Source organism: Homo sapiens, chromosome 4 (genome assembly GCF_000001405.40).
Source record: "Homo sapiens chromosome 4, GRCh38.p14 Primary Assembly".
NCBI lineage: Eukaryota > Metazoa > Chordata > Mammalia > Primates > Hominidae > Homo > Homo sapiens.
The window spans coordinates 138051904-138064614 of NC_000004.12; the positions used below are offsets into that span (position 1 = coordinate 138051904).

The window sequence follows — 12711 nt, forward strand, 5'->3', positions numbered from 1 at the left end:
AATTTGGTTCTTCTGATTATCTTTCAAGAAGGAAAATTAGCTTTTTCAGTGACCTATGGTCCATACATTTCAAGTCCACTCAAACCTGTTGAAAATGGAATAAAATCACAACTAATAAGTGTTTGGTTATAGGATAATAATATGTCTGGAATTGGTGGGTTCTTGGTTTCACTGACTTCAAGAATGAACCCATGGACCCTCGCAGTGAGTGTTACAGTCCTTAAACGCAGCGTGTCCGGAGTTTGTTCCTTCTGATGTTCACATGTGTTCATAGTTTCTTCCTTCTGGTGGGTTCCTGGTCTCGCGGACTTACGAGTGACACTGTAGACCTTCGTGGTGAGTGTTACAGCTCCTAAGGCAGCACATCTGGAGCTGTTCATTCCTCCTAGTGGGTGTGTGGTCTCACTGGCTTCAGGAATGAAACTGCAGACTTTCGTGACCAGTGTCACAGCTCATAAAAGCAGTGTGGACCCAAAGCCTGAGCAGCAGCAGGATTTATTGCAAACAGCTAAAGAAGAAAGCTCACACGGCGTCGAAGGCGATCCAAGCAGGTTGTCACTGCTGGCTCCGGCAGCCTGCTTTTATTCTCTTATCTGGCCCCACCCACATCCTGCTGATTGGTCCATTTTACAGAAAGCTGATTGGTCCATTTTACAGAGAACTGATTGGTCCATTTTGACAGGGTGCTGATTGGTGCATTTACAATCCCTGAACTAGACACAAAAGTTCTCCAAGTCCCCACTAGATTAGCTAGATACAGTGTGTGGGACATAAAGGTTCTCCAAGTCCCCACCAGAGTAGCTAGATAGAGAGTGTCGATTGGTGCATTCACAAACCCTGAGCTAGACACAGGGTGCCAATTGGTGTGTTTACAAACCTTGAGCTAGATACAGAGTGCCGATTGGTGTATTTACAATCCCTTAGCTAGACATAAAGGTTCTCCAAGTCCCCACCAGACTCAGAAGCCCAGCTGGCTTCACCCAGTGGATCCCGCAGGGGGCTGCAGGTGGAGCTGCCTGCCAGTCCCTTGCCATGTGCCTGCACTCCTCAGCCCTTGGGTGGTCGATGGCACTGGGTGCCCTGGAGCAGGGGGCGGCGCTCCTAGGGGAGGCTCGGGCTGGCAGGAGCCCACAGCGAGGGGGAGGCTCAGGCATGGCAGGCTGCAGGTCCCGAGCCGTGCCCCTCAGGGAGGCAGCTAAGGCCCGGCGAGAAGTCGAGCACAGCAGCTGCTGGCCCAGGTGCTAAGCCCCTCACTGCCCCGGGCCAGCGGGGTCGGCTCGCCCCTCCCAGTGCGGGGCCTGTCCAGCCCACGCCCACCCCTGAACTCGTGCTGGCCCGCAAGCGCCGAGCGCAGCCCCAGTTCCCGCCCACGCTTCTTCCTCCACACCTCCCCGCAAGCTGAGGGAGCCGGCTCCCGCCTTGGCCAGCCCAGAAAGGGGCTCCCACAGTGCAGCCGCGGACTGAAGGTCTCCTCAAGTGCAGCCAGAGTGGGCGCCAAGGCTGAGGAGGCTCCCAGAGCCAGCAACGGCTGTGAGGGCTGCCAGCATGCTGTCACCTCTCAATAGTACACAAGAAAATGGCATTTCAATCTTCATGAAACTATCATCATTGAAAAAAATAATTATTTCTTTAATATGTCCTTAGTTGGGGACATACAGAATTCTTGCTGCCTATACAATATTATTATAGATGGGAAATGTTTTAAAAGTAACATGTTCTAGCTGTTGCTGGCAAGGGAACATTTATGGTTAAAAACGAAATGCTGCCTTGCTCTGGAATAAGAAATCACTCTTCAGCTCAACTCTAAGCACAAAGTGACTCATCCTGCCAGAGGTGATTTACAATGACCCTCCTACTGATGCATCATCCAGAATGCTGATTGCGCAGCAGGACAAATACAGAAGCAGAGGCGAAAAGTGTTAAATTAAGGATGCCTACGTGATAAAGAGAGCTGCAGAACCTATGAGAATCACAGAAATCATCAGGATATCTAAAAAGCAAGGATAAGAGAACATAATTGAGATCAACAGCACAAATAGAAACATGCAGGCAGGAAGGCAGCACTGAGTTGCAAATGTGATAACTAGGAATTTAGAATGTTTTTGAAGTGAAGTCATGTTTCATCCTTACACAGCTTATGGAAAAAAAATGTGGAAACAAGAAAAGAAACTACAGAGCAGAGACAATGCATATGAAAGAGGAGAAGCACCCCAGAAGAGGACCCCTTTCCTTTTCTGTCCTTCACATATACAAGTCTTAGTGTAGAGGGCTTAGAAGTATGTGTTGTGCAGTGTTTGTAAAACTTTTATTTATAGAAGGTTTGAAATTATCCATTATGAGTCAGATGTGCAAATATGCAATTTTCCGTATTTCTCCCTACTGCATTCAACTTATTCTCTGAGCCTTCTTTTAAAAATGTAATGCAGGCTTCTCCAGGTAACTCAGCCACATCTGATTGGAAAAGATCTCAAGGTAATTATTTTGTTAATAGAGATACAAAACTCCGACAAGTCCTTTTTCAAACTCTGTAGCAACAATACATACACATATTTCTTATATGCTTGCCTCTTGCCTTACTCCTCCATGAGAAAGCTTTTGAGAGTAAAAAATTGCTAGCAGAGTATCACAACAGAGGTCGCGCGGGAATGTATTTTACAAGGGCTCTTCTCAGGTTCCAATGGACTGTTATTACTCTTCCCATGAGTCTTTTTGTGGCCACCTTGGTTCTTTCTGTATCTACATCTAACGTAAAGTGGTCCCATCTTGCCTTTGCACACCTACAAGCATCCTTGCTGGCACCCAAAACCCGTAGCATAGCCTTGATATCTACACATTGTATTTGCTCATCTCAACCTAGGTCTCCTATGATTTACCAACCTTCTTTGCAAATCCACATGTTCCATTAAGGCATGAAGCAATTTCTTGATTTTCTTTACACCAGGTCTTTCATAACTCTGAGATGTAGTGGAAGACACTATCTCAAGCCCTCTTTCTGCCTGAAAAATCCAAAACCTTTGGATAAAACATTTTGGGCATCCCATTTGGAGAGCATAATGAAGCTTTGCCTCCCGGAAGGGAACAGAGAACATGCCTCTTCTCCCTGAAATTACCAAAGATGTGGGAGTGAGCTTCTCACTGAAGCCTCAAAGTGTTTCTTTCTTTCTTGTTCCAATGCTTTCCTCTAGCTGAGGAAAGCTTTTATCTAATCCCTGTTTGGCAGGAAATTGTCCCGAAGCTATCCTTCCTATTTTATAGTTTATAGTAAAAATGTCATGTTCAATTCTCTATACTTTTGTTCTTGATGTTTAAAGGGAAAAATCTGGAATTTAGAAAACTGTTTTCAAGTGTTTGTCGTTTGCTACTGAAAGCCCATATTTTAGTAATATAATCTCAGAAATGGACTTCAAGAGCCTATTTTAAAGGGTGAGGGGTTGACTTTGACTCTTTTGTTCTCTTTGCATTTCAGCTATAACAATCCTAATATGGTAATGTGCTGCTTGGAAATAATCTGCAACTGATGTAGACATCTTGCTAAGTAGTTGTATGTATTATTCATTTTATACTCACAACATTGAACAAATGAGGATACTGAGGTACAGAGAGATTAATTAGCTCATGCAGGACCACACAGTTAGTGATGAAACCAGGCAATGAAGCCAGGCAGCTTGCATCCAGAGCCTACACTCTGCTATGCTACACCACTTAGGGCAATCTGCGCTGATCCAGAAGGGGAGGAGTCACATATAAAGAAGCGAAAAACAGAAATTCCATTTGAAAATATCTAATTATGTATGTGTATATATATTTATTAGTGCCTAATTTAATGTGTAGTAATATATACAGTTCCAATTCTGATCACAATCTCAATCTTTCACAACAAATCTTTTAGTCATACTTGGAAAATTCTGGATTAAAGACCTTTCTGATACCATCATCTATTATTTCTGGGTGTGGGGAACTTAGCTACGAGAGTGCACAGAAATGCACAAAACTAGGGAGGCACATTCTCTTCCATAATGCTGTGTCCACCCAGTATATTTCTCTCTCGGTGTATTCCATCTTTCACTGGAGCTAATAGTCATAGAAGTTAAGCTTTTCTCCTATGCCTAAAATTGTGTTTTTATTTTCATGTGGATGGTTTCTCTTTGTAATTATGTGAACAACTCATAAGCATGCTTAATGAATCACATCTTGATTCCTTGCAACTCATTGGAGAAATATGTTATCATACTTCAAACATAATCAGGAAATGTCATACCTATTAATGGGTTCATTGTGACAAGTCATGAAAATATTACAATGTGTAACTTGGAATCCAGTAAACAATATTAGAAGAGATTTTCTAAAGTATAATTACAATTTTTTCTCTATATGTGCCGAAAAAAGCGTTGTCAGGAGAAAGAAAGTGTACTGGCTTATCACGTGATTCTTATCTTGATTTAAGTCATGTTATTACTTATACACTATCCATTAATTCCGAAGAAGACCTAGTGTACTTTAATATATCAAACTATGAAATACAAATTTATATTTCTTTCTTGATTTATATTCTTATTTTGATTTAAGATATATTTTATCATGCAACTTTTTTGCATTTTATATCATGTATGAAATCAATGAAAGTATTCTACATATATGATATCAAAAATAAATAATACTAAATTATATTACATATGAGTCAGTGTGGAAACAAAGATAAAAGCAAAACTAGTTTGGTTTCTGAAGTACTGCCCTTCCATCATGTATCATTGTTTAGTTAAGGTAACAGAAACTTCAACTGGTGTTTCAATTGGAGGAAATTTAATACACGGTATAGTTACAAAAGGGTCAGAAAGCCTAGAATAGCCAAAAGAGAAAAGTAAACTTCCTTGATTGGTATCTGCAGGAAGCAACCACCATCCTAGGCTAGAGGAGCAGAAGGGGTATAGTGTCACCTATAGCCACGGTCCCTGCCCACCTGGAGCTGCTGGAGTCCCACTGCTGCTACTCCTATTTGGAACCACTGCTGAAGCTGCCTTGCAGAAAACTCTTGCAGGAACTTGCAGGAACTCCCATGTTCCTGATAGTGTGGGAAACTTGGGGCCCAAAGCTACCTGCAGATGTCACAGAACATGGATAGCTGGGACAGCTGGGACAGATAGAGGCAGGACACTGTGCTGCCAGGACTGCTGCTACTGCTGCTTTGCTATGACCCACAAAACCTGTGCTGCTGCTGGAAACATGCTGCAGGAACCAAGTGCTCCACATCACTTTTTGTGACTGCTGCTAAAGGAGTCACAGTATTAGCACCCCCACCCCCCACCACCAAAAATTTTAAAAGGGTGTGAGTGATATGGTTTGGCTGTGTCCCCACCCAAATCTCATATTGAATTGTAGTTCCCATAATTTCCACGTGTTGTGGGAGGGACCCGGTTGGAGATAATTGAATCATGAGGGCAGTTTCCCCCGTTCTGTTCTCCTGGTAGTGAATAAGTCTCACGAGATCTGATGATTTTATAAGGGGTTTCCCCTTTCACTTGGCTCTCATTCTTTCCTGCCTACCACCATGTAAGATGTCCCTTGCTCTTCCGCCATGATTGTGAGGTCTCTCCAGCCACGTGGAACTGTGAGTCCATTTAACCTCTTTTTCTTTATAAATTACCCAGTCTTGGGTATGTCTTTATCAGCAGCATAAAAAACGGATGAATGCAAAGGGATTTTAGCTTTTTCCTTCTTCCTTCCAATGACTTGCCAATGCCTCTCACTGTGAGAGTCTAACAGAAGCTAGCTGGCAAAGACATTTCTAGGCAAAACGGTTTTCAGATGTCCAGCCCTCTGTTACACACAGTAAGGTACAGAAGATCAGAAGTGGCCCTCACAAGACCCTGTCTCACTTCCTAAGTCAGCTAACTTGTAGTCTCCTTTTCCTGTCATCAGCCTTTGGTAATCTCCAGAGATTTTATTCTTTTTTTTTTTCTTTTTTCTTTTTTTTTTTTTTGACATGGAGTCTCGCTCTGTCACCAGGCTGCAGTGCAGTGGTGCGATCTCAGCTCACTGCAACCTCCACCTGCCAGGTTCAAGCAACTCTCCTGCCTCAGCCTCCTGAGTAGCTGGGACTACAGGTGCACACCACCACACCCAGCTAATTTTTGTATTTTTAGTAGAGATGGGATTTTGCTGTGTTGGCCAGGATGATCTCAGTCTATCGACCTCGTGATCCGCCTGCCTCAGCTTCCCAAAGTGCCGGGATTACAGCCAGAGATTTTTTTAAATGCTGTTTTCTGTTCTTCTTTCTCTTCTGCTCATTTTGAAACTAGAAAATATATTTCTGTTCTTTTAGTAATTAACTGTAAAATTTGAACAGACATTCTTATATAAATATTTTCCGGCAATGCCAAAATTTGTTTAATATCCCTATCCTCCCTGAATAAGGAGCAAAACATTCTCACTCTTCAGTGTACTCTCTCCTCCTCCTTCCTCATTACTGCTGTCTTGAACTTCAGTTCCACATTTTTAAACTATCTTTTTACCATGGTAAAATATACGTGAAATAAAATTTGCCATTTTAGCAATTTTTAGATACACAATTCAGTGATGTTATTGTATTCACAATGCTGTGCAATCATTACTTCTATCTATTTTCAAAACTTATTTATCACTCCAAGGAGAAACTTTACCCATTAAGAAATAACTCCCCATTATACCTATCCCCAGCCCCTGGTCACTTCTTATCTATTTTCTCTATGAATTTGACCATTTTAGATATTTCATACATGGAATCATAGAATATTTGTCCTTTTGTGTCTGGCTTATTTTGCTTAGAAAAATGTTATCAAAGTTTATCTATGTTGTAGCCTGTAGAACTTCATTGCTCTTTATGGCTAATTACATTTTATTCCACATACATGCCACATTTGATTTATCCATTCATCTGTGGATGGACATTTGGGTTGCTTGTGCCTTTGGGCTATTGTGAAGTGCTGCAATGAACACTGGTATTCATGGAGGTATAAAATAGTTCACATTTTGGTTTTGATTTGCATTTTTCTAGTAACTAATGATGTTGGGCATCTTTCATGGGATTATTGGACATTTATTTATCTTCTTTGGAGAAATGTCTATTCAACCCTGCCTGTTTTTAATTGGATTGTTTGCCTTTTTGTTGTAGAGTTGTAGGATTCTGGAATTTAAACACATATCAGATATATGATTTCTGTATTCTGGAATTTAGACACATCAGATATATGGTTTGCAAACACTTTCTTCTATTTTGTAGGTTATCTTTTCCCTTTTTTTAACTTTTATTTTAGGTTTAGGGGTACATGTACAGTTTGTTATATGGGTAAACGGGATGTCACAGGGGTTTGGTGTACAGATTATTTCATCACCCAGCTAATAAGCATTGTACTGGATAAGCAGTTTTTGATCTTCACCCTTGTCCCACCCTCAACCCTCAAGTAGGCCCCAGTGTCTGTTTTTCCCTTCTTTGTGTCCATATGTACTCAATGTTGAGTGCCCACTTATAAGTGAGAACATGTGGTATTTGGTTTTGTGCTCTTGTGTTCGTTTGCTTTGAATAATGGCCTCCAGCTCCATCCATGTTGCTGCAAAGGAAATGATCTCATTCTTTTTGCATAGTATCCTATGGGTATATGTACAACATTTTCTTGTCCAGTCTACTGTTGATGGGAATTTAGGTTGAGTCCATGTCTTTGTTATTGTGGATAGTGTTATGATGAGCATGTGCATGAACGTGAATTTTTTGTTGTTGTTTTTTTGAGACGAAGTCTCGCTCTGTCACCCAGGCTGGAGTGCAGTGGCCTGATCACTGCAACCTCTGCCTCCCACATTCAAGCACTTATCCTGCCTCAGCCTCCCGAGAGTAGCTGGGACTACAGGCGCACGCCGCCATGCCCAGTTAATTTTTTTTTTTTTTTGTATTTTAGTAGTGACAGGGTTTCACCATATTGCCCAGGCTGGTCTCGAACTCCTAAGCTCAGGCAATCCGCCCACGTTGGCCCCCTAAAGTGCTGAGATTACAAGCCTGAGCCACTGCCCCCAGCCCATGCATGTGAATTTATCGTAGAAGAATTTATATTCCTTTGGGTATATACCCAGTAATAGAATTTCTGGGTTAAACGGTAATTCTGTTTTAAGTTCTTTTTTTTTTTTTTTTGAGACAGAGTCTCTGTTGCCCAGGCTGGAGTGCAGTGGTGCGATCTCGGCTCACTGCAACCTCCGCCTCCCAGGTTCACGCCATTCTCCTGCCTCAGCCTCCCGAGTAGCTGGGACTACAGGCGCTCACCATGCCCAGCTAATTTTTTGTATTTTTAGTAGAGACGGGGTTTTACCGTGTTAATCAGGATGGTCTCGATCTCCTGACCTCGTGATCCACCCGCCTCGGCCTCCCAAAGTACTGGGATTACAGGCATGAGCCACCGCACCCGCCCTTGATTTGCATTTCTATAATGATTAGTGATGTTGAGCATTTTTTCACATACTTATTAGCTGTGTGTATGTCTTCTTTTGAAAAATGTCTGTTTGTGTTTTTGTCCATTTTTTAATGTGGTTGGTTGTTTTTCGCTTGTAAATCTGTTTAAGTTCCTTATAGATTTTGGATAGTTAGACCTTAGTCAGATGCATAGTTTGCAAATTTTTTTTCTCATTCTGTGGATTGTATTTTTATTCTATTGATAGTTTCTTTTGCTATGCAGAAGCTCTTTAGTTTAATTAGGTCCCTTTTTTTTATTTTTATTTTTGTTGCAAGTACTTTTGGCATCTTTATCATGAAATCCTTGCTAGGTCCTCTGTCCAGAATGACCAGAGTGATATTTTTTAGGTGACCTTCAAGGGTTTTTATGCTTTTGAGTTTTACATTTAAGTCTTTAATCCATCATGAGTTGATTTTTGTATATGGTGTGAGGAAGTGGTCCAGTTTCAATCTTCTGCATATGGCTAGCCAGTTATGCCAGCACCATCTACTGAATAGGAAGTCCTTTCCCCATTGCTTGTTTTTGTCAGCTTTGTGAAAGATCAGATGGTTGTAGGTGTGCAGCATTATTTCTAGGCTCTCTATTCTGTTCCATTGCTGTGATATATTCTGAGTGAATTATTCAAAACAAGTATCAAACATCACTAATTATCTCTATGACTCTGTCCAGTCTAGAACTCTCATCTAGTAGATTTTTTAATTTCAATGACTACTTCTTCATTCCCAGTATTTCTCTTTGTAGCTCATATCTGTCTATTAATACATTGGTTGTTTCTTTTTAAATGTAATTTTTTGGCAGGGCACAGTGGCTCACACTTGTAATCCCAGCACTTTGGGAGGCCAAGGTGGGCGGATCACTTGAGGTCAGGAGTTCGAGACCAGCCTGGCCAACATGGTGAAACCCCATCTCTACTAAAAATACAAAAAATGAGCTGGGTAGCAAACCACCGTGGCACATGTATACCTGTGTAACAAACCGGCACATTCTGCATATGTACCCCAGAACTTAAAGTAAAATAAAAGAAAAAAAAATTAGCTGGGCATGGTGATGCACGCCTGTAGTCTTAGCTACTCAGGAGGCTGAGGCAGGAGAATCGCCTGAACCCAGGAGGTGGAGGTTGCAGTGAGCCGAGATTGCGCCACTGCACTCCAGCATCGGCAACAGGGCAAGGCTTTGTCCCAAATAATAATAATAATAAATAAATGCATTTTTTTATTTCTTCATGAGTATAAAAAGCATTTTGTGACTACTTATATTAGTTTGTAAGGTCTCCCATAATAAAATGTCACAAACTAGATAGCTGAAACAACAGAAACTTATTTTCTTAAACTTTGGAAGCTAGAAGTCCAAAACCAAAGTGTTGGCAAGTTTAGTTTCTTCTGAGGCTGATGACTCTCTTCTCGGCTTTTCTCCTGTGTCACCCTGGGAACACAGTTATAGCAGTTATTTAGCAGGGCTCTCTTTGACCCTTTCCATGGTATCTCTGGTAAGGTGGCTGCTTCATTTGGTATTAGATCCTACCCATAATGCTTCCCTAATTACCAGCTCTACTAGTTTTGACAATGTCCTGAAACACAAATTTCTGAGCAGTCTGATCTTATTAAATTTGGTGTCTTATGCAGGATTATTTTGGAGCCTGTCTTTGAGTTTTTTCAAAAACCCTAGCAGAGCTCTTCTTAGGTGTCCCTTTTCCTGGTTTTCTTTGTTGAACTAGCTGGCCTATGGTTTATAGTGTTGCTTCAATTAAGAGGAGCTACTATTTATCGGGATGCCCTCATCCTTAAACTTCCCCATATTCTGTTTCAAATAAAATCAGTTATTTGGGGAGAGCACCAGAGCTCTCTTTTTTTTTTTTTTTTTTTTTTTTGTCACTGCCTCTCCCTGCGGAAAAACTTTCTGAGCCACTCTTCTGGGCACAGCATACCACAGTAGCCTCTACTCTTCTCGGTTTGCCTCTTATTATGGAACCTCTTTCCTATGAGCAAGGTGAGATTAGAGCAATCTTGGTTCAACTATTCCCAGCTTTCCCTGTGTGGGATACAGTTGCCATTCTACAAATAGGAGTGGGATGAAAGCAGGTAGTCCCTAACTCCCAGCCATATTCACCAGGAATTTCACTTCATCATGTAGTTGGAGGAAATGAGAAGTACAGGAAGCTTTCTCTCATGGTGCAATAAGATGAGATTTTATTGAGAGCTGAGGGAAGAAGCAGCTTTATCTATTGGCCTCATGCATCCTAAATGAAAATTCTGTCAAACTGAGCTGGAGTGGGCAAGAGAGACGAAACGATTGTGATTCAAATGCCACATATTCATATCTTATTATATTGTAGTATATTTTTTTGAATAAATGTTTCCTCCTTTGCTATATACTTGTAGAACTATTCCCAGAGATTTTAGGTGGTTGATTGTTTTCTTTTCCTCTTTTCAATAGTTTTCATCAGCTTTTCATGTTTCACTGGGGAGTGCATCCTGAGAGGTCGTCACACTATCATCTTGGAAGTGAATCTCTTACATTTCAGTTTTAAAGGTAAGATAATTTAATGATGGAAGGAGGGGCTTCAAGATGGCTGACTAGAGGCATCTGATACTTGCCTCCTCTATGAAAAGGAAGCAAAAAAGTGAATAGATAGTCACATTTCAAATAGATTACCTAAGAGAAAACACAGGAATTCAACAGAGAAGTGACAGGAAACACGTAACACAAAGAAGGAGAGAGAAGTGAGTCAGCCTGCTCAGCTGCAACTGGCTAGAATCTCAGGGAGGCTGCCTAATGTGAGGTAAGGGTAAGTGAGTGACTCCTAGTGGTCCACATTCCCACTGCAGACTGTTGTAATCCTAGCCATGGGAGAGCCCCTTCATCCACACAGGCCCTGAAACTAATATAGGGAGCTACCTGGAGATCTTGCAAAAGCATCGCTCCAGAAAAGAACTCACACTGAGTCCTACACACTCCTCAAGTCCTAAGAAGCTACAGAAAGGCATCATTTTGAGAGTCCAACCACCAACAGACTGCATCTTGTCTTAAGGCTCAACACCCCTTTATCTTCTTATCCCTGGAGCCCTATTGACATCCTCCACTTGCAACCAGGTTCCACAGCTGGCTGCTACTGCCAGGTCCAAAGTGTGAGCCATTGGCAGCAATCCCACCATCTTCAGGAATGAAGTCACTTCATATTTGCAAGTCCCTTGTGGACAAGCTACCCTGCCAACAGCCACCAACTGGAACCAAAGCAGATGCTCCCCAGTTAACTGTTTATGGCTGATATGACTGAAAGCAACCTTGCCTTCACCAGAAGAAAGTCCACAGCACGGCTGGTGCTACCCCCACACAAGCATTCTACCAAAGGCCTGGGAACCTTTGCCTACCACAGCCAGTACCCAGACACACCACTAGGGATGCCTGAGGACAGGCACACACAGCATGGCTCCTCCCAACATCCAGTGCCCAGCCACACCATCTGAGAGCCTGGGTGGGGATGGCTCAGCCCCATCCACCACCACTAGCAACTGAGCATTCCTCCCGGGAATCTGACGGCAAGCCCACTCAACCTGCCACTCTCACCAGAGCTGGCACTCACCTGCACATACTACCTGTGGGCCTGAGGACTGGCCTGCCCAGCCTATTGCAGCCACCACCAACGTTAGCATGGATCATATGGGAGTAAAAATGTTGTTCCACCACTGCTACTGTCATTGTCCATGCCACATCTGCTGCCCAGGGACCGACCCAAAGACCCACTCACCTGTCAGCCCACTGCTCTCACTGCCAGCACCTAAGCAAACTGTATGGAGGCCCAAGAATTGACCCACATGGACCTGCTAACAGTGGTGCTGGCTTATGCTGCCCTGGCGCCCAAAGACAGGCATGGTCAGTCTGCCACTGCCACCACTGGGGCCCCACTGTCAGGCCCACCTGACATTCCTGTCTGCAGAAAAACTTCACCACAGTCTCCACTAACAACTGCACCCTAGGCCACTGAGGAAATCACAGAAATTACCGATGCTATTTATAGCCAAAGAACTCATATGGCTACTCCACTACTGCACACACCCAGAATCAAAGCCATAGTACCCTATCCAACCAACACCATGAATGTATCTTAGGGAAATTCTTCCCCTAGGAAGGCAAATTCAAAAAATTCGAAGAAGTGACTGTTACACAAGATGCACAGATATCAACATAAGGATACGAGAAACATGGAAAGTCAGGGAAAGATACCTCGAAGGGAACACAATTC

At 42.5% G+C, this 12711-nt stretch overlaps 1 long non-coding RNA gene across 1 annotated transcript in view; it reads right to left on the reverse strand.

The window, feature by feature from the left end:
• Nucleotides 1–12711, reverse strand: part of LINC00616 (long intergenic non-protein coding RNA 616) — a 103264-nt gene that overhangs the window by 24482 nt on the left and 66071 nt on the right. The gene's annotated exons all lie outside the window — the stretch shown is intronic.